The sequence below is a fragment of the Homo sapiens genome, chromosome 2, assembly GCF_000001405.40.
Source record: "Homo sapiens chromosome 2, GRCh38.p14 Primary Assembly".
Classification (NCBI taxonomy): Eukaryota; Metazoa; Chordata; class Mammalia; order Primates; family Hominidae; genus Homo; species Homo sapiens.
The window spans coordinates 189,559,674-189,581,349 of record NC_000002.12 but is presented as its reverse complement, the minus strand read 5'-3'; the positions used below and the strand labels follow the sequence as shown (position 1 = coordinate 189,581,349).

General features: G+C 38.0%; 1 protein-coding gene across 2 annotated transcripts, besides 2 other annotated features; it reads left to right on the top strand.

The window, feature by feature from the left end:
- Positions 311-480: a silencer, noted in NCBI's record as "silent region_12171". NCBI's record gives its function as "represses an Ori minimal core promoter by ATAC-STARR-seq in GM12878 lymphoblastoid cells {active_cell/tissue: GM12878}" and the evidence as "EXISTENCE:reporter gene assay evidence [ECO:0000049][PMID:35858748]".
- Positions 551-610: a silencer, noted in NCBI's record as "silent region_12170". NCBI's record gives its function as "represses an Ori minimal core promoter by ATAC-STARR-seq in GM12878 lymphoblastoid cells {active_cell/tissue: GM12878}" and the evidence as "EXISTENCE:reporter gene assay evidence [ECO:0000049][PMID:35858748]".
- Positions 564-20,760, top strand: SLC40A1 (solute carrier family 40 member 1). 2 transcript variants are annotated; one of them, NM_014585.6, is made up of 8 exons: positions 564-932; positions 1,470-1,537; positions 6,030-6,189; positions 8,389-8,504; positions 9,509-9,635; positions 15,751-15,996; positions 17,125-17,766; positions 19,159-20,760. In NM_014585.6, exons 1-8 carry the CDS (start codon positions 890-892, stop codon positions 19,470-19,472), a joined length of 1,716 nt encoding a protein of 571 aa, NP_055400.1. In that variant the 5' UTR covers positions 564-889; the 3' UTR covers positions 19,473-20,760. The 2 variants fall into 2 exon arrangements, with proteins under 2 accessions (NP_055400.1, XP_047300022.1); XM_047444066.1 differs by lacking the exon at positions 564-932 and adding an exon at positions 2,997-3,131 and having other exon boundaries at positions 1,489-1,537.

The following is a 21,676-nucleotide window of genomic DNA, read 5'->3' as shown; positions in this document are numbered from 1 at the left end:
GGAAAGCGGCCTCTGTGGCATGAATTATATTTATTTAGATACCTGTATTAAAAATTATTTTCGTTAAAAAAGGAATCCCCACCCACCAAGCTCGCGCTGGAGCTTTGCACTGCGACCGTCCGGCGGCCGCCCTTTCCCTGAACTGCGGGGTAGCCGGTGCGCAGCGCTTTCTTCCAGCACCTGACGCTTAGTTTCGCGCAGAATCTCCCTACGCCGCCCCGCCGGCTCCACGCGCCTTCCTCCTTTTCCCAGCCCCACGGCCGCCCCCCGAGGTTGCCCTCGCGGCTTCCCGGAGAGCAGGAAAACCCGGGGAGTGGAACGCGTCGAGGCGAAGGTCCCCGCAAGCCGCGCAGGGTGTCTGCGGCCGGTTGGACGCTTGCGCCCGGGGTGGGCGACTCCTCCGGGCAAGGGCGCGGGGACGGCCCGGCGCGCAAGGTTGACGGGAGCTCGTCTCGCGCCGCGGGGACGCCCGGGCGGCCCTGAAGGGGACGGGGCGGCCCCAGTCGGAGGTCGCAGGGAGCTCCGCCCCCGACTCGGTATAAGAGCTGGGCCCGGCCCACGGCGGCGGCGGCGGCGGCGGAGAGAGCTGGCTCAGGGCGTCCGCTAGGCTCGGACGACCTGCTGAGCCTCCCAAACCGCTTCCATAAGGCTTTGCCTTTCCAACTTCAGCTACAGTGTTAGCTAAGTTTGGAAAGAAGGAAAAAAGAAAATCCCTGGGCCCCTTTTCTTTTGTTCTTTGCCAAAGTCGTCGTTGTAGTCTTTTTGCCCAAGGCTGTTGTGTTTTTAGAGGTGCTATCTCCAGTTCCTTGCACTCCTGTTAACAAGCACCTCAGCGAGAGCAGCAGCAGCGATAGCAGCCGCAGAAGAGCCAGCGGGGTCGCCTAGTGTCATGACCAGGGCGGGAGATCACAACCGCCAGAGAGGATGCTGTGGTGAGTGTCGTTGACCGAAAGCATATGGTGGAAACCCAGGTGGGGCTTTGGAGACAAGCAACTCTACACGAGTTCTGGAGGAATGTGGCTCTGCTGTGAACCATAGCTTTGTAAAAAGATCCTTTGACTCATATTTGGTGGACGTTAAGGAAGAAAGGAAATTCAGGGTGTGGGAAAAGGGGTTTGCACACAGGCACGGATGGAGTAGATTGGGCAGTTTGGATTGCCTTGTGTAAAAAAGAAACAAAACAAACAAACCAACCAACCCAAAAAAGAATGCTGAAACAAGAGTTTCTTCACTGTATGTGAAATGTGAAGTTGGGCAGTTATTGACTAGGTCAATAACTGAATTTAGTGAATGGTATTAAGTGAACGAAATACATCGGTTCATAGGTAACTTGATAAAATGTACGTGGTTTGTCCTGCAAAGTAGTTTTTAATAATCATGTTCTAATGAGATCAAATGGATAAGCATTCTGCCCTCAGCTCATTAAGTGACTACCATCGCTTTTTGTCACCCCGCCTGTGTCTTTGCAGGATCCTTGGCCGACTACCTGACCTCTGCAAAATTCCTTCTCTACCTTGGTCATTCTCTCTCTACTTGGGTAAGTGAGAATGCATAGTCTTACAACACAGTTGCGCAATTTTTTATTTCCTTTCGTTCTAGCCAGTTGTATTAAGCCAACTTCCAGTTTTGTCAAGCAGTTAAAGAAATAAATCATCCAAGTACACATGCTTTAATGAAAACGTTATTTACATCGAAGATCTTTCCCCATGAGTGTTAGTTAATGCAACTTAATTATCAGATCATCGTAGTTTATGTAGATAGACAACTATCCAGACAAGATTATCAAGGAAAGGAATATTTGCCTTGTTTTTAAATTTTATGTTGCATTAGTAGCTTTGGTAAATAGACATATCTGCTACAAAAGATGGATGGATGTCTCATATACCTTCTCTTCTTCACATTTTAAAATATTTTGTTTTCTTTTTTTGTTAAAATTTAGTTCCAGCGTGCAGCACCATGAGAATACAATAGAATGGTAGAGTGACTGACTTAAGCTAATAATAACATTCTAAGATTAATTGAAACATAAATGACCCCCAGAACAAATATCTGAGTGACAAAAATTCTGGTCTTTAAAAATGTTATCTATAGTTAGATAAAGTTTGGGGCAGTGGAGGCTATCTTAAAATTAATCATCCAATGAATATCAGCAATGGATTTACAGTTTTCCCTCTGACTTTCTAGGTTGTCCTGGAAAAGACCTAGTGTTTCTGTAGATCTGGGCTCCTAAAACTCTCTCCGAAAAATAATAAACTAGAAGGGTGCTAGATATATGTTCAGTGATGATTAGAATCTTTAACATTAAACAATTATTGTTTAAAAGCAATAAATCTGGCTATATTCTGTCCATGGCTCATATGTATTTAAAAAGAATGGAAAGAATTTTGAGAGTAAATTTTTTGAATGTTATTTTCCTTTTAAATTGGAAACTTATATTGGATCATCCTTAAGACATGGATGGAAACCACTGGAAGAGGAAATCTATACCCAATACCTTTGAGAAATTGTTAAGCTACATTATTGGTTCTCTAAGAAATAGCAGTTTATAGATGACATTTTAGAAAAGCAAGCTCCTATCTTACCAGAGGCTTACACAGGGGTGACTCTGCAAATACATGTAAACAAAGTGGAATTGGTGTGAGTTTGTTTTAATTCCAACAGCTGATGATGCTAAGTAGAAACCTAGTGAAACAACCCTTAATAAATAAAAAGCAATAGTTTGTTCCCCCAGTTTAATTCAGTAAATATTAAGTATTAATAACATGTGATGGGAATAGTATCTGAAATTCTCAGCCTGTGGTCTGGCCTTGCTCTTAGAGGAAGAAGATGCCTCTCTTCCAAGTTCTGATTATGGTTTATGTGACCTTTGGTTAATAGGTTAGGAGGTCAGATTTGCCAGAAAACCAGTGGCACCGTGGTTGTTCCAGGAGGATATTTTGTCATGTTCATTAAAAGTCCCACAAGAAAGGTGACACATGCTTATCCCAACTTTACAGTAAGTCAAGCAAAGGAAGTTCTCATGAGAAAGTTGGATTAAACAAACAGCAGCAACTACAATCATATAAGGTTTAGTGGATTTTTACTCCTTTCCGCTGCAAAGGAGTGCAAAAGAGGAATGTCTCTAACACTAGGTAATTATGCTTTTTATGTTTTTTCTCTTGTGTGGCACTCTGCCTGATTTTGTTACAACAAAACATTTATGTTTCTGTATTATGTGTGTGTGTATATGTATTATATATATATGCATTTTCCGTCCCACCCTGCCAAGTCATGATTTCTTATGCACTGAACGTAGGGGCATTAGAGTAGAAGGTTGCCTCAGGTTAGTTTTGTGTGGGGTTGAATGCCTTTTATTTCTGACTTCATTTCTATCTGCCAATGGATCAATGCATTTTACTCTATATTATCAAAATACAATATAGTGTAAGAAGTGGATCCTGGCTAGGTGCAGTGGCTCATGCCTGTAATCCTAGCACTTTGGGAGGCAGGAGGATTCCTTGAGCCCAGGAGTCTGAGACCAGCCTGGGCAACATAGGGAGACTCTGTCTCTGCAAAAAAAAATTTAAAAATTAGCCAGGTGTCATGAGACACACCTGTAGTCCCAGCTACTGAGAGGCTGAGGTGGAAGAATTGCTTGAACCCAGGAGTTTGAAGCTGCAGTGAGCTGTGATCACACCACTACACTCCAGCCTGGACAACAGAATAAGACCCTGTCTCAAAAAAAAAAAAAAAAAGTGGATACTATTGTCAAGGAGCTTATAATACAATTTAGTATGGGCTTTAAAAAAGATATCTAATAACAAAAAGATGACAGTGTAAGACAGTGAAAAAGAGGGGCCAGTTGCTTATATCTGATAACATGATCTTACAAACTCTCTCCATTTAAACCCCAATATGTCTGCATTTCTCCAGCCCTCGTTTCCCAGAGGCTCACTTTGCTCATGGAGGCCTTTGTTGCCACCAGCTCCATCCTACTTTATATTTCCTCATAGCAGCACGTGCCCTGTGCTAGATTTGCTTTTGGTCTGTGCTCACTGGAATGTGAGCTGCATGAAAACCTTTTGTGCGCTGCTGAAGCTCTAGTGCTTGCAAATGTCGGGTACATAGTAGCCACTTAGTAAGTATTAAGTGGATTGAGGACCATGATCATTCATTGACAGTTATTAGGTTTGCCTTCAGCTCTCAGTCCCGTGGGGGTACATGGACACATAAATAGGTCATCCAAGTTTAGTGAGAATTGGTGGGAAGGCAAGAAATGGAAATAAGGAAGGATGGGCACTTGGTCAATATTTACATAGACTTTACCCAAATATTGGGCTTTTTGTAAACATAGAATCTGTTGCTTCTTAAAGCCTAAGCCCGTTGGAAATTGGGGTAATGTGAGCAATTTCTTTCTTTCCATCAAAGAGGTGGTATGGCATGCAAGAAAAAGCAAGATTCAAAACTTTAATAGCATTTGTCTTGATGTCTTGCTTTAGAGGACTCTAAGACAATTAAAAAATACAATAAGAGTAAGAAAAAAAGAAAGAAACAACAGTATTAGAAAAGTGTTTCTTAACCTGTATGTTAAGAAAGAGAAAACTCTCTGACAGAGGCAACCTATCATTTGGGACATGTGTGTGTTTTTGTCTTTTCCTTGGGAGCTATTCAGAGGAATGGAGATTAGAATAAAGTATCTCCCCTCTCCCTATCCCATTTTATCCTAATCAAATCTAAATTTGCTTTTCAGGTTAAAGATTAAGTAACAGCTCCACCCCCTTGCTGTTGTGACAACTCAAAATTACTCCAGGCATTGCCAAATGATCCCCGGGGAGGTGGGGTGGGGGTAGGAGAAGCAAAGTCATCTCTAGTTGAGAACTACTGGTCTACAGGAAGTTTTTTTGTAAATGATTGCTAACATGCATCAATTTAAGTTTTGAATGTATAAAATTATTATCTTGGCTTCATTAAATTTTTAAAATTATTTGACATACCAGGATAGTATTTGCTTCTAATACATGGATTTTTTCATGAAGATGTTAACAGACTTTGGGAAGAACTAGGAGTAGAAGTATTTCTGTAGGGTCAAATCTATGAGGCCTGGAATTTGGTTTCCTATAGGGATTCCCAGAGATAAGTTATGATGGAACATGGTTGTCCTCCTTAATGTTAATTTCAGAAGTCAGGGATGGAGCCTAAAATCTCATAATAAGGTCCACTGTAGATTTTTTAAGACATTAATTTGCCTAATTCACTTAAAAGTTTCTGTTAAATCACATTTCACGGTAATGAACTCCAAAATTCCCTATATTCTCCGGAGTTTGTGTGAAGAAATAAGTAGCTTTTTCCCCCTTTCAAAACTCATCTGTATTAAAATGTTAACGTAACTACTTACTTAGGCATTTAAGTTTATTTCTGACATCACTGTTTATGCAGTGCCAGAATTTGCTGTTACTACTCCTCTTTCCAATCGCTCTGCTGTTTTATGACTTTCGAATTATGACTTTATGAAATCTCATAGGTTTTAGGATATTAGACATGAAAGAAAACTTGGAGATCATATGGTCCATTCCCATCATTTTACAAATTGGAAAACTGGCTTTTTCTTGATGCTCAAGGTATACTAATGTTTGTGAACTGTACTGTAATTGATTTCTGGTTCAATAGCAAACTACTTTATGCCTCTGCAATCAAGATAGGCAAATTCCAGGCCCCAGGAGAAACCTGACACACAGGAGAACACGTTTTTGTCTCAAAAAGCCATCTTGGGTCTGGAAACTGCATTTTGTTTCTAGAATGAAAAAGAGAATGTGCGGTTCATTAATATCATGCCTTTTCAAGTTTACTTAATAATTGGGCAAGAATATTTTCCATTGTGCTGGGATGAACGTTTTAACATCTGAGCAGTATTCAATCTAAGAGTAATTACTGACTTTGAAAGTCTCATAATGTAGCCAGGAAGTGCCCTTTTGATAAGGAAGCAACTTCCTGAGTACAATAGACTAGAAACGAAAAATATTCCATCAAAACATTTTCTCTTTTCATTTAAGGGAGATCGGATGTGGCACTTTGCGGTGTCTGTGTTTCTGGTAGAGCTCTATGGAAACAGCCTCCTTTTGACAGCAGTCTACGGGCTGGTGGTGGCAGGGTCTGTTCTGGTCCTGGGAGCCATCATCGGTGACTGGGTGGACAAGAATGCTAGACTTAAAGGTGAGTGTTGTTATATAATTAAGCCCTTTTATTCATGGGACCAATGCCTGAGCTACCTCTGTAGCAAAGGAAACAACAAACTAGGAGAGAAACAACCAGGGAATGTCTGCATGCCACACTTGAGGGAGGAGGGCTTAGATGGCACCACCTCTGGATGGAGGGTCCCATGGCTCCCACACAAAGTTGGGATGCCTGGACATTGACCTAATAGATTTTTTTGTATCTTTGGCTGTTCATAAATTTCATATGTTAATGATTAACCTTGTAGCACTTCTCTGAGAACCATGTTAAACATTAAAAGTTTGCTTAACTCAGGCTTCCTAACTGTATCTTGTACTGGAGTCCCTTTAGTGTGATGTTCCTGAGACAGCTTTAACATCTGTTCTTTGGTTACTATGTTTCATGTAAGAGTATGTATAAGGGAATTGAAAACTAAGAATAGCTTCAAGGCAGAATAGTTGAGCCTGGATCACAAAGAGCTGAATTATAAATTTTGTAGGGAAAAAGAAGAAATAATAATATCTTGATATTTATTCTAAGCATTAGTACTGAAATCATGTCATTTTATACAGGAAAGAAAGTAATTGATCAATTAAATTTTCCAGTATATAAGGGAAATATGGATGATCATTCAGGGTAAATTTTCTTGAATTGCTCAGTTGATAATGCCAAGACCTGACCATGCCTGACTTAGATGTTGGCAAAAGACTGAGGTTTCATTCTTTCAGTGCGAGATGACTGCTTCTGGACACAGAGCAACAGGCTTATCAAATTCTAGGACTTGATGCTACTAGGAAAATGGTCAAGGTGAACATATTTCTGTTTTTAGAATGAGTAGACCAGAACACATATAGAGAAAAGTTCTGTAATCTAGAAAAAAATTTACTTCTTTGCATCATTATACATAGGAACATAGGAATATTATACATAGAAACTTTTAATCTAATGATTGTTGAGCACTGCAATCATAGATTAGGAAAGAATATTGAATTGGATGAAGAAAAGTGTGGTAGGATAACAATTTCCCACTTATCCTATATAATCAACTCATACATTACTCTTTATGAAAAATGTTTCCTGATACCTCTGGGCTGAATTTACCATTTCTTCCTCTGTGTTCCCATGAGGCTTTGTTACCACCTCTGCTCTTACACAGATATAATGATCTGTTCACATATCTTTTCTTCTTCTGGTCTGTAGGGTCCCAAAAGCTAAGAACCTTATTTAGTTGACATCTGATCCTTATCCAGTGAATGAATGCATGAGTGAATGAATGAATATGTTGGGATTTTATATCAGACTGCTTTCAGTAAGCAGCTTATTTTTTCTTGCAAGACCTTCCAAGCAAGGATGAACTATATTATCCTTGAAGACAAGAGCTGTAATTATCCCTTACATATAGAACTTCATGTTTTCCAAACTGCTTTCGTAAGTGTTTTATTTGAGCATCATTATGACCCTATAAAGTAAGGAAGACAGGTATTACCATTCTCACCTTCTAGACGCAGGCGTAAGAGATGTTAGGTATCCTGCCCTAGATCATCTGCCTACTGAGTGGCAGAGAAAAGGCTACCAGGTGTCTTTATCTGTCCTTACTCCAGTGCTTTATCTATATGGGCGCCTCATAAGAGAATTGCCATCTGTGATGGAAGGGGTAGCTTAGAATTTCGTAGCAATGGCAAATAGCATTAGTATGCAAAGAAATACACTGCTGCTTTATTCTTGGCAAATTTTTGTGTGTCTTTTCTATTTAGGTAAACCATATTATCAGATTCAGCCTGCCATGTAGGAGGTTGTAGATTTCATAACTTCCTCTTTAACCTCATACATGTTATTGTTTTACCTTAAGCAACAAAGAGCTGAAATGTGGATCATGTCTATATCATACTACAGCTCCATTTATGTTAAACTTTCAAGAAGATAAACTAAATGAAAATGTAGTCATTATGATAGACTTCAGTGAACAGAGAAACTTGTGGTACTTCATCATTTTGTTTGCATATTTACTGGTCTGGTGTGATCCTCTGGGTTGTATTGAGAGTAGTTGAGGCAGGACTGACTTCAGAAAGGTTTTCTTTTTATCTGGTAATAATTAGGTCTGTGTATTAATGTATTATAGTAGAACAATTATGTGTGGATAAGAACAGTCTCACTGAGACATTTTGATGTAATGTACACTTTCTCTCTTCCTCTGCACAGTGGCCCAGACCTCGCTGGTGGTACAGAATGTTTCAGTCATCCTGTGTGGAATCATCCTGATGATGGTTTTCTTACATAAACATGAGCTTCTGACCATGTACCATGGATGGGTTCTCGTAAGTTCTCAATGAGATTCTTGATGGCAGAAAATTGAATATCTGGTAGTGGTAAAGGATGAAAATGCTTTGAAGCTATTTTTTTTTTTGGCCAGTGTGACCTTTTAATATTGATTTCTGTGTCTACTGTAATATCCCCTATAGTTTGTTTTGTTGTTGTTTTGCCCACAACAGGCACTCATTAAGTATTGTTTGAATTTAAATTTTGTCCTATTGGTTTCTAATGGCATTTCTAAGAGTTTACTATAGAATTCAGTTGTTTGTTTTCAGCTTTTTAGTGACCTATACTTTGTTTGTGCTATTTAATAAATGTTATCCATATCTATATTAGTCAGTCATAATTGCGTTCCTCCAATAATAATTGTTACTTCTGTTTGGGAATGTCAACCAGATAACTTTTCATGTTGTGATTTCATAAGAGCTTGATGGAAAAGAGGAGAGGGATGGGGTGTGGTATAAACCATGCATCTGGTGTCATATTGAATCTTCTTGTGTATATGTGGATTGATATTATAGAGTTGCAAAGCCAGGTAGGACTTTAGAAATCTTTGAGCCTATTCCCTTCATTTTATTGAAAAAATTAAGACAAAGTGAACGTTAGTTGATTGCCCATTGTCATGCAACTAGAAGGTGTCAGAACTCTGACTTAAATACAGGTGTTTTCAATTCCCCTTCAACATTCTTTTCAAAGGCAATATTTGTGGGAGAAATGTTCAAAACCACCACTGTGTTAACATTTTATAACTGTATTCACCTGACTATTATAATTTTTGTATTATGTGTACTACAGATGATCTAGATGATACAGGTTAGGACATTATGCCCATTGACTACTGGTATTCATTCAGTTTCATATCTATAACGTAAAATGATTTCTTATAAATGAAATTAAAATACTTTTTTTATCATTCCACCAAAGACTATTTTAAACTGCCTTGTTTAGTGACATATGTACAGTGTGGTAAACTGACATTATAACTCATTTTTTTCTTGTCATTCTTTAGACTTCCTGCTATATCCTGATCATCACTATTGCAAATATTGCAAATTTGGCCAGTACTGCTACTGCAATCACAATCCAAAGGGATTGGATTGTTGTTGTTGCAGGAGAAGACAGAAGCAAACTAGCAAGTAATTTGGCTTTCTCTTTTAATGAAATGAGCATGTTAGGATTCACTTTAAATCGGTGGTGATAAATGAGGCTGTAAGCCTTGTATTTTTGTTCTGGGTATTTTTTAAGAATGATAAATTGAAAGCATACTTTTTTTCTTACCTTATTGTCAGTTTTAGTGCTGATTTATCTCACTGTTACGAAGTTAACTTATAGGATAGCTAACTTCTCTTTTATCCTACACAAACTTGGCAAATGGAATAACTTTTCTTTCCTCTTTTTTTTTTTTAAAAAAAAATTCAATCAACTTTCTAAATGTTTATACTTAGAACAGTGCAAATCTGACATGAGATTTTACTGGTCATACCTATGAATGTTATTACTGGTGCTTATCAATCATATGGATGTTATTTTTCTCTAAATCAAATGGAAACAATTGTAGGAGAGACTCTAGAAGTTAATTTCTTCCATCTTAAAGTTATAATCTATAATTTTATTACATTATGTACAATGTAATATAATTGCTGTTACAAATACCAAAGAAATAGAGGACAGAATATAGTTTTTAAGAAGCTTACCATCTTAGTTGTTCATTGGGAATATAAACAAGTGGTCAAAGAACATCTGAAGAATGCTTACAAGGCAACATGTCCTATTCTGTCAATATTACTTAGGCTCAGAATAACCTCCCTCACTCATTATTGCCTGCCGTCCCCTCATATGACACACAGACACAATTTGGATTGACACAAATTGGAATTACAATTCCCCTGTGTAAGGAGGAAGGGTACACCTCCCTACCTGTCAGATCAGCTGAGTCAACTCTGCTGATCACTGAGATAATGGGTATAACAAACACATTGCCCAACTGTCCTGACAGACAAGTAAACCATTCTTGATGACTTAAATGGCATATCCCAGGATACAGAAGGCAAGATTATGTGCTGGGGTTAGCAAGCAGCTTTGTTTGGACCATTTGGTTAAAAAAAAAGTTAGAAAGGAGGGGTGAGTGAAGGAGAACAAAGTCTGTGGAAGGTCTAGAAGAAGAATTTGCCTGAATCATCACTTTGTGGTTGCAGTATTATTATTGAGTTAGAAATTCCACAGTGATTGATTTAAAGGATGGTGTGTATGTAAGATGAATTTAGCATGTGTGAATCTGTATCACAGGAAATTCTCTCTGGAGCTAAAATCATGATTCTCATTTACTTTTCTTCCTGTGATCATTTATAATGAGGAATAATTTCATGTCTTTTTTGTCACATTGAACTAGATGATAAGGCTTTGTCTTTTTTTGTTTACTTTCTCTTTTTAACAAACTACTTAAAGCATGTAAAATATATCCATGTTTTAAAATTCAAAGGGTACAAAAGGATATATTTTGACAATAGATCACACATATATTTGTTGGAATATACTTAGAGAAGAAAGTTGACTTTTACAATGATTATTCTGTGATTTGTGCAGCAGCTATAGATAAAATGAAAATAAAATTATTTTCTTTCACTTAACTGATTTTAACTAACTCATTTGACTCTGCAAAGTCTGAAATATGAAAAAGAAAGTTAGCCAGAATCTTTAACTTGTCCTAAGATATATATATACACACACACATATATATACACATATATATATACACACATACATATATATAGATGTGTATATATATACATACATATATAGGTGTGTGTATATATATATACATACATATATAGGTGTGTATATATATATACATACATATATAGGTGTGTATATATATACATACATATATATACACACATCATATAAATATAACTGCAAACATGCCACATAACTCTGGGATTTTTCTATGAAGTGATGTCCAAGAATAACAACAAAAATATGACTGGTCGTTTCTCAGCTGTCTGTCTTTATATTATGAATTATTGCAGAGTGGAAGAATCTAGGCTATTCAGTCTTTTTCTAACTTTCTGATGTTTTTCAAGTAGGAAAGGAAGTGAGATGTTTGTTGAACTCTTGTCCACTCTACATTAGCTTTTAGTAAGTGGTGCTCTTTCACATCCAGCCAGCAGTGTGGGCTGGTGGACTAGTGAAGGAAAACTTTCTGCATGTTTCAAAACAGGAAACAGAAACTTCTTTAGTTCTGAAGGTCAGAAAGTATCTAATTGTGGATTTTTTGTGCCATTTCTGCTATTGCAGAGTTAAAGGAGAACAGAGAAAAAGGAGGAGGATAAAGGAAAAATGGGACAAAGAAGGGGGAAAGTACATCTAGAAGGGACTCCACCTGCTGCCTTGGGTTCCTATGAGGTTGTGTCTCTTATACACAGACCCACCTACTCCAGGCAGGAAGGATTTGTGTTTATGCAGGCTGATTTTTGAGGTTGTGGCAAAGAAACCCAGGTAGGGGCCTAGGCCAGGAAGGCTTCACCTGTTTGTGATATGTTTAGAGGGTGAAAGGGGAGGGGTATGCCCATGAAAAGTAAAAGTTTTGAGCTGGATGCTGATTGCTCCCATTTCCTCATCACAGTGTTTCTTAATTTTAGAGATTGTTTTAAAACTAGAAGCTGTATCACTGAGGGTAAAAGAAAAGGAGGAATTTTCCCTGCCAAGGTTAAAAAGTTTTAGAATTTCAGTGGCATCAGGCCAAAATACAGCAGTCATTATCCAGTTTGGAAAGTTCCAGAAAAGGTGTTTTATTTTTCTCATGAATACTGCTAACCAGTTAACTAATTTAGGTACTTTCTAGGTGCTTGATTTAGTACAGTGTTTTATGATAACATTCTCTTGTGCCACGTTTGAATCTTACTTCCTTTTCCCAGGCTTTTTAACTCCATCTATTGCTTTTTTTCCTCCTCCATTTCTTTTGAGGATCACTCTTTATTAGTATCTTCTGAGATTTTTCTTGCCCATCATGCTAAAAAATAATCTGCCAGTTAGCTTGATCAAGTATGGCAGATAAATTTTGTGTTCGTGTGGTATTGATTAAAAATCGATTTCATATATGAAGTAGACAAAACTGCTAGGAAATTTAAAAGAATTTTTCTTCTATGGATGTAATATACCCATTATAATAGAAGTAGTTATTTAATGTCATGTTCTGTGCCACAGCTGTAGCTGAGAACAGTTAAATTGGAATCAAATCAACACATATTTGTGTGCTTATGTAAGACTAAATATAAATTGGTAAAGAGCGTATATTTGCATATTCATAAGACTGATTCTTTTCTAGCCTGCTACCAGTAAGATGATTAAGTCTTTTTTTTTTTTGAGACGGAGTCTCGCTTTGTCACCCAGGCTGGAGTGCAGTGGCACAGTCTCAACTCACTGCAAGCTCCGCCTCCTGGGTTCACGCCATTCTCCTGCCTCAGCCTCCTGAGTAGCTGTGACTACAGGCGCCCGCCACCATGCCCGGCTAATTTTTTTGTATTTTTAGTAGAGACAGGGTTTCACTGTGTTAGCCAGGATTGTCTTGATCTCCTGACCTCGTGATCCACCCGCCTCGGCCTCCCAAAGTGCTGGGATTACAGGCGTGGGCCACTGCACCCGGCCTAAGTCTTTTTTTTTTTTTTTTAATTATCCATTCTGCATCAGAAAAATAAAAGCTGTTTTTTAATACAACATTTCTACTGACACCTACATATTATTAACTTTCTAAGTATAATATAAAAGATGGAAATTGGTGACATTGGGAAGCTCCGTGAGCTCTTAAAAACTGAAGTAGTGAAAGGGTAAGAAATAATTTTAACTAAAATAATTTGTTGTTGTCATTCTGGGACTTTAAGATTCAAATATATGTTTTCTTTAGTTACTTGCTTTTTGGATTCCAATTATTGAGTTATTTGGATAAATTCCACACTTCTCTGTTGGCATATGAGTTGGAAACTTATTAGTTAGTGGGAGGCAGATGGTAGTGAAACCTCTGCGGTGGCAGTCAAGTGTAAGATCAATGAAGGCTGCCTTTGCCTCTCAAGTGAAAGGTGAAATATGTCAAAGTTCTCCTGTTATCATATATGCAATATATACTCATAGGGCTAATTGGAAAGCAATTGAGGACCAGGAAGAATTACAGAAGGAATAAAGGCAATCTTCTGTTAATGTACTTCTTCGTCACGTATTGTTTTTCTGTTAAGGTGACCCAAATGATTGCTTAAGACTTGTCTCACTAATTTTCACTCTGTTCTGTGAGACAGGAAGTGAAAAAGTAGATCACTTTCTTCACTTTCTTTTTGTCCTAAAACTTTTGGTTTTATTTTATTTTAATTAATTTTTTATACTGACACATAATTGTGCTTATTATGGAGTACATAGTCATGTTGTGATGAGATGAGATGGAGATACATCTCCATCATCTCAAACATGTATCATTTCTTTGTGTTGGACATTTTTTTAACTTCCTCTTTATTGATTTTGTCCTGCACTCTGACTCAGGAATACATTCCCGTAGTCAAACTCTAGACTTTGTTATCACCACTAAATTCTCTCCTCCCATAATCTCAGTCTTAGGCATCCATATTTTGAGAAATCACCTTCTGTCTTTCCACCAACTTCTTCACTACCACAGCCTCAACAATCCATGTGGTTGGCACCTACAAACCATTCATTCCACGGCCTTTTCACTGTCCATGATCTCTCTCTTGTCTCTTTCTTACCCAGCTTAAAATTCAAGGCCAGTCATGATTATATGATCATCTCTTGGCATATACCCTCAGCTCAGTTGGCCCCCTCTCGTTTTGTCACTTTTGTTTGGTAAGACTTTGGTTAAATCCAACTTTCCACAGTAGAGCATGGCTGGAAAAAAATGCACGAACTTGCTCAGCATTCTCACTTGAGGTTCAGGGCCACAGAGTTGGTCCTTTCATGCTTCCAGATAATCACACTATTTTCTCTGATTCTTTCCTTCTCCACTTTCCTAGAGGACCATTCACAGTTGTTTCTCCTCTCTCATCACATGTTCAAGTCCTCCTCCCCCATCCTCACTTTCGTCAATGACCTGGCTTTGTATTTTGCTGAGAAAATGGAATAAATGAGAAGAAAGCTTCCATGTGATTCCACCATCATGTCTCTCTTCCTACCTGTACCTGAAGCCATATATGTGGTCTCTACTCTTGTTACTATTGATGAATTGTGTTCCTGTCTAAGAGCAACTCCTTCAGTTATGCGGTAGATTCAGATTACATCCCTTATCTACTGTATCATTCCAGGCAGCACATAATCCTGCTCTAATTTTGCTCCTCTTAAAAATCCCTATCTTTAGCACACTTCCTTCTCTGCTACTCTATTTCTTTGTTCTTCTTTTTGTCAAAACATATCCAAAAGACTTGTCTATTTCCAATTCCATTTTTTGGGCAGTACCTTGCTTTCCATAAGGCCATGGGAAGCATTCACATTGTGCTCCAGGGTATGACTCACTGAAAATACAAATGGTGTCCCCTGGGGTTGGCACCAGTCTCTTAAATCAGCTTTATTCAGGCATTGCCCTTATCGTTCTCCTTTTTTTGAGGTCTCCAGAATCTCTCTTGTGACCAAGCTAGTGTTTCTTTTCAGTGCTTCTCGTTGCTGTGATGCTCTTTTTTTCAGTGAGTCCTCTGACCTCGCCTTATTTAGAACATTCCCCTGGGCACTCTCTGCCCTTTTGCTTCATTACTTTTCACCATAGTATTTAATAAACATCTGACATATGCAGTGTTTGTGTGTGTATACACACACACACACACGCACACACACACACACATATGCTTGTTGATTTATTGTCTTTTCTTTCCTGTGAGAATATAAACTCTGTGAAGACAGGGAAGAATGTTACTTTTCTTCTTTATAGTGTTAAGAATTGTTGAGAATAATGACTAGCTTATAATAGGCATTTAAGATATATTTGTTGAAAAAAATGAATGTAGAGTCACTGCTGTATTCATTTTAAAAAGCTATTAGACTGATTTATGCAATTCCAAGGGGATTATCATTGTTGAGGCAAATTTAGTGGGACTTGACCCAAACAACAAATATTTTTCCAACAAAATGTCTTTCTTACAAATGTACTTTTAGAAAACCACATTTTAGGAATCTATACTCTTGGTTTACAGCTTTGTATTGTGTAAATGGGCAGTCTCTCTTTGATGGGTTTGCACACTTACCTGCCTCTTTCACCTGCCTCTCTAGATATGAATGCCACAATACGAAGGATTGACCAGTTAACCAACATCTTAGCCCCCATGGCTGTTGGCCAGATTATGACATTTGGCTCCCCAGTCATCGGCTGTGGCTTTATTTCGGGATGGAACTTGGTATCCATGTGCGTGGAGTACGTTCTGCTCTGGAAGGTTTACCAGAAAACCCCAGCTCTAGCTGTGAAAGCTGGTCTTAAAGAAGAGGAAACTGAATTGAAACAGCTGAATTTACACAAAGGTAAACTGAACACAATGATCTCTCCTTTTGTTCTCATGTTCAGACCTTAAATGTTGGTGAAGATCAAAACTATTTTGAATTTGTATCAGGTTTTATTACCAGTGGGGGCCAGATGAGGTTAAATATATCGCTTTGGTAGACGAGGCAAGAGCAGGCTTTTGAGGATCTAGGGAAAAACTCCGGGTTGAATCTGGTGGGGTTAGAATGGGTCCCCTAGCCCTCTTCCTTGATGTGAGCAGTAGTTATAGAGGTTCAATTTTACTTGAGAGATAGCTGGGCAAAGCTAAGTCATAGGACTGGGAAAAAATGTGGGGAAAAAAAGAGAATGAGAGAATCCCTTGGACTCTGTGAGGAGGGAGTTATGTAGTCATTTGTAGGACAGTGGAAGGGAGTGAGGACACAAAGATGGGTATTTCACTGGAGAAGAGGACGCTGGGCTTCTGGGTAAACAGAATCTTTTATCCAGCTCTGCAGGGACCCAGAAAATAATATGCTGGTTGTTTTTTGTTTTTTTGAGACAGAGTCTCGCTCTGTCGCCCAGGCTGGAGTGCAGTGGCGCGATCTTGGCTCACTGCAAGCTCTGCCTCCTGGGTTCACGCCATTCTCCTGCCTCAGCCTCCCAAGTAGCTGGGATTGCAGGCATCCACCACCACACCCGGCTAATTTTTTGTATTTTTAGTAGAGACGGGGTTTCACCATGTTAGCCAGGATGGTCTTGATCTCCTGACCTCGTGATCTGCCCGCCTCGGCCTCCCAAAGTGCTGGGATTACAGGTGTGAGCCACCGTGCCTGGCCAATACGCTGTGTTTTTTTAGACAATTTTAATATTTTATCTGGTGAGTTTTCCTGCTGTTTACTTTGGTGGGAGTATAATTTCTAAGAGCAAGAGAGAGAGAGAAAAAAAAGAGGGATAGATCAATAGTATTTTGTTTATTTAATAAAAATGACACTTGATGATTATTCCTTGGCTGGAATTCTTAGATTATTAGTAAAAGAAAATACATATTACAATGTCTAACCAAGGGTACCCATTGGGAAGGGGAATAGAAGGAAAAAAAGTACTACTAATAATTGGCTTTTATTTCTACATGTCCTCCCCAACAAAATAATGGTATCTTTTCTTAACAGATACTGAGCCAAAACCCCTGGAGGGAACTCATCTAATGGGTGTGAAAGACTCTAACATCCATGAGCTTGAACATGAGCAAGAGCCTACTTGTGCCTCCCAGATGGCTGAGCCCTTCCGTACCTTCCGAGATGGATGGGTCTCCTACTACAACCAGCCTGTGTTTCTGGCTGGCATGGGTCTTGCTTTCCTTTATATGACTGTCCTGGGCTTTGACTGCATCACCACAGGGTACGCCTACACTCAGGGACTGAGTGGTTCCATCCTCAGTATTTTGATGGGAGCATCAGCTATAACTGGAATAATGGGAACTGTAGCTTTTACTTGGCTACGTCGAAAATGTGGTTTGGTTCGGACAGGTCTGATCTCAGGATTGGCACAGCTTTCCTGTTTGATCTTGTGTGTGATCTCTGTATTCATGCCTGGAAGCCCCCTGGACTTGTCCGTTTCTCCTTTTGAAGATATCCGATCAAGGTTCATTCAAGGAGAGTCAATTACACCTACCAAGATACCTGAAATTACAACTGAAATATACATGTCTAATGGGTCTAATTCTGCTAATATTGTCCCGGAGACAAGTCCTGAATCTGTGCCCATAATCTCTGTCAGTCTGCTGTTTGCAGGCGTCATTGCTGCTAGAATCGGTAAGAAATCTCTTTTTATATATTAATGAACTAAAGTGTCTTTTTGTAATGTAGGTTCAGAGAATCCATTAATAAATGATCTGAAATGTTCCCTAAATGTTAATTTAAGCAAAATCCACTCTTACGAAATTTTTATTTTACATATTTATACTTTATATTTATTGTGTTTTTTATTTTATAGTTTGAAAACCTGTATTTGTTTACTTTATTATATACATATACTTAAAACATGGTTCAGGCTTGAAAATAATTTTTTCTAAATGAATATCTTAAATATTACTTGTTTTTTTTTTTGTTTTTTTTTTTTTGAGATCAGGGTCTTGCTCTGTTACCCAGGCTGGAGTGCAGTGGTGCAGTCACAGCTCACTGCAGCCTCGACCTCCTGGGATCAAGCAGTCCTCCTGCCTCAGTCCCCCAAGTAGCTGGGACTACAGCCATGTGCCACCATACCTTGCTAATTTTTGTATGTTTTGTAGAGATGGGGTTTTGCCATGTTGCCGAAGGTGGTCTTGAATTACTGAGCTCAAGTGATTACTTTTTAAATGTAATTTAATTTATAAAAGATATTAGCTATATTAATTATACTGCCATCTAGTAGAGTCTTGATATTGCAATAACCTTAACAAAAAAACTGTAGTTTAGAAAATATTCCCATAGGACAACACTAAAAAGGTAATGTTTTTGGCTTTAAAAGAAGATGTGAAAGTGATAAAAAAAATCCTTCAAAGGTCTTCTCTAGCAAATATGTATTTATTATATAGTTTGCCACACAAATGGATTTTATAGCCCTGGAAGGAAACATAAAGACTTCTTACAAAGCAAAATTTAAGTAATAATTAATAGAGTACTGATGAATTATCTCTGAATTCAGTCTTGAAATGAAACTGTTTTTATCTTGTGATACAAAACAGTTCATTAGTTTATTGAAGATATTAATTTCCAGGCAAGACAGCTTTATTGTTTGGGCTTTAGAACTCTAGCAGTAATATAACAATGGTTTAAAGTTTCCTTACACTTTAACCATAACCATTTATTAGGTCATTTGAAACTTAAAAAATACTAGTACTTATACTATAATAGGATTTATTATGTCTCTGATTTCAAAGTTTTGTTTTTGTAGTATGAATAATCACAGAAAAACAGAACTAAGAAGTTTGTAGATTAGACTTCTTTTTGTCTGATGACTGTAAAAATCATTTATTGAGGCCACTAATAACCCAATATTTATTTATGAAAAATAATTCTTAAGGCAAGGCTATGGTATATTTAAGGTGACTTAAAGACAGTCAGGCTAAAATGTATATTTTGCATATGTCAACAGATTTTTATCTGTGATTTGAAATGTATGCCTGTAAACTAAAATCTAATCTTTAAAAAAATATTTTATTATAGGTCTTTGGTCCTTTGATTTAACTGTGACACAGTTGCTGCAAGAAAATGTAATTGAATCTGAAAGAGGCATTATAAATGGTGTACAGAACTCCATGAACTATCTTCTTGATCTTCTGCATTTCATCATGGTCATCCTGGCTCCAAATCCTGAAGCTTTTGGCTTGCTCGTATTGATTTCAGTCTCCTTTGTGGCAATGGGCCACATTATGTATTTCCGATTTGCCCAAAATACTCTGGGAAACAAGCTCTTTGCTTGCGGTCCTGATGCAAAAGAAGTTAGGAAGGAAAATCAAGCAAATACATCTGTTGTTTGAGACAGTTTAACTGTTGCTATCCTGTTACTAGATTATATAGAGCACATGTGCTTATTTTGTACTGCAGAATTCCAATAAATGGCTGGGTGTTTTGCTCTGTTTTTACCACAGCTGTGCCTTGAGAACTAAAAGCTGTTTAGGAAACCTAAGTCAGCAGAAATTAACTGATTAATTTCCCTTATGTTGAGGCATGGAAAAAAAATTGGAAAAGAAAAACTCAGTTTAAATACGGAGACTATAATGATAACACTGAATTCCCCTATTTCTCATGAGTAGATACAATCTTACGTAAAAGAGTGGTTAGTCACGTGAATTCAGTTATCATTTGACAGATTCTTATCTGTACTAGAATTCAGATATGTCAGTTTTCTGCAAAACTCACTCTTGTTCAAGACTAGCTAATTTATTTTTTTGCATCTTAGTTATTTTTAAAAACAAATTCTTCAAGTATGAAGACTAAATTTTGATAACTAATATTATCCTTATTGATCCTATTGATCTTAAGGTATTTACATGTATGTGGAAAAACAAAACACTTAACTAGAATTCTCTAATAAGGTTTATGGTTTAGCTTAAAGAGCACCTTTGTATTTTTATTATCAGATGGGGCAACATATTGTATGAAGCATATGTAGCACTTCACAGCATGGTTATCATGTAAGCTGCAGGTAGAAGCAAAGCTGTAAAGTAGATTTATCACACAATGACTGCATACAGACTTCAAATATGTCAATAGTTTGGTCATAGAACCTAGAAGCCAAAAGCCACACAGAAGGGCAAGAATCCCAATTTAACTCATGTTATCATCATTAGTGATCTGTGTTGTAGAACATGAGGGTGTAAGCCTTCAGCCTGGCAAGTTACATGTAGAAAGCCCACACTTGTGAAGGTTTTGTTTTACAAATCACTTGATTTAACACACTCAGGTAGAATATTTTTATTTTTACTGTTTTATACCCAGAAGTTATTTCTACATTGTTCTACAGCAAGAATATTCATAAAAGTATCCCTTTCAAATGCCTTTGAGAAGAATAGAAGAAAAAAAGTTTGTATATATTTTAAAAAATTGTTTTAAAAGTCAGTTTGCAACATGTCTGTACCAAGATGGTACTTTGCCTTAACCGTTTATATGCACTTTCATGGAGACTGCAATACGTTGCTATGAGCACTTTCTTTATCCTTGGAGTTTAATCCTTTGCTTCATCTTTCTACAGTATGACATAATGATTTGCTATGTTGTAAAATCTTTGTAAAAAATTTCTATATAAAAATATTTTGAAAATCTTAATTTTTCCTGAATTCTGTTCCCCAATTATTTAACAAGGCTTTTGTTACAGAACATCTGTTTTGGGTAACTTGTTTTTCTCTATAAAGGGCTACAGTGTCATGATTTTTAGTGTTATCTCCCTGTTCATATTTCTAGTTTATGGTGGACTGGATAAAAGTGTAGTAGACATGAGGCCCAGCACTCTTTCTTTGACTTTGAATATGTCACACTAAGCACTTTTAAGTTCTCACTTCTATTTTCCCTTCTGTAAATTGGAAATGATAGTAAAAACAACCCTACCTACCTTTCAACTTTCCTGGTTGAATGAAATAAGAGAAGCCATGTGGAATTACTTAGTGAACTACAAGACAAGGCAGCATTTTTACTAGAGGTTGGACCTTAGTAATGACGGGGAGCTGAGGAGAGATGTCTGCTGCCTCTAGAGAGAGTAGAGCCACATTCTGCATAAAGGAAACATTTATTGGGGACTTGATCTAAACTGTTATCAGTCCTAGGGATTCAGACTGGACTCAGACATAGTTGATCAGAGCCTCCTTTCCTTTCTCCTAAAATTGAGAACTTGAGAGCATTTGGCATCGCCCTGCAGCTACTGATCTGTTCATGATGTTTGTGCAAACTAGATGCCTCTGTTAGGTTTGGCTGCTGTCTTGAACTGGCTCTCTGCTCCCTCCCACAGGGGTCAAGGCTGGGATTGAAGATCTGTCCTGAATGTTTGCAGCTGTAACTGAAGGCCTATGACCTTGAAAAATGAACAGAACCACATTAGCAAGGGGAGGCCTCAGCTCTTAATATGGGCATTTTGCCATTCTGTGCATCTAGTGAGAGAGGCCCTGTGTAGGAAGAAGAAGCATGGAGTTGAAGAGTTAATAGGAATTTTTACAGCTGTTGCTCTTACCTTTGCAGACTACTGCTCAGA

What these genes read in the sequence shown, in the direction of transcription:
- SLC40A1 (NM_014585.6), top strand. Translation starts at nt 890, where the DNA reads ATGACCAGGGCGGGAGATCACAACCGCCAGAGAGGATGCTGTG. An exon ending in CCGCCAGAGAGGATGCTGTG is followed by an intron (nt 933 to 1,469) that starts GTGAGTGTCGTT and finishes GTGTCTTTGCAG; the next exon opens with GATCCTTGGCCGACTACCTG. An exon ending in AGACAGAAGCAAACTAGCAA is followed by an intron (nt 9,636 to 15,750) that starts GTAATTTGGCTT and finishes CTGCCTCTCTAG; the next exon opens with ATATGAATGCCACAATACGA.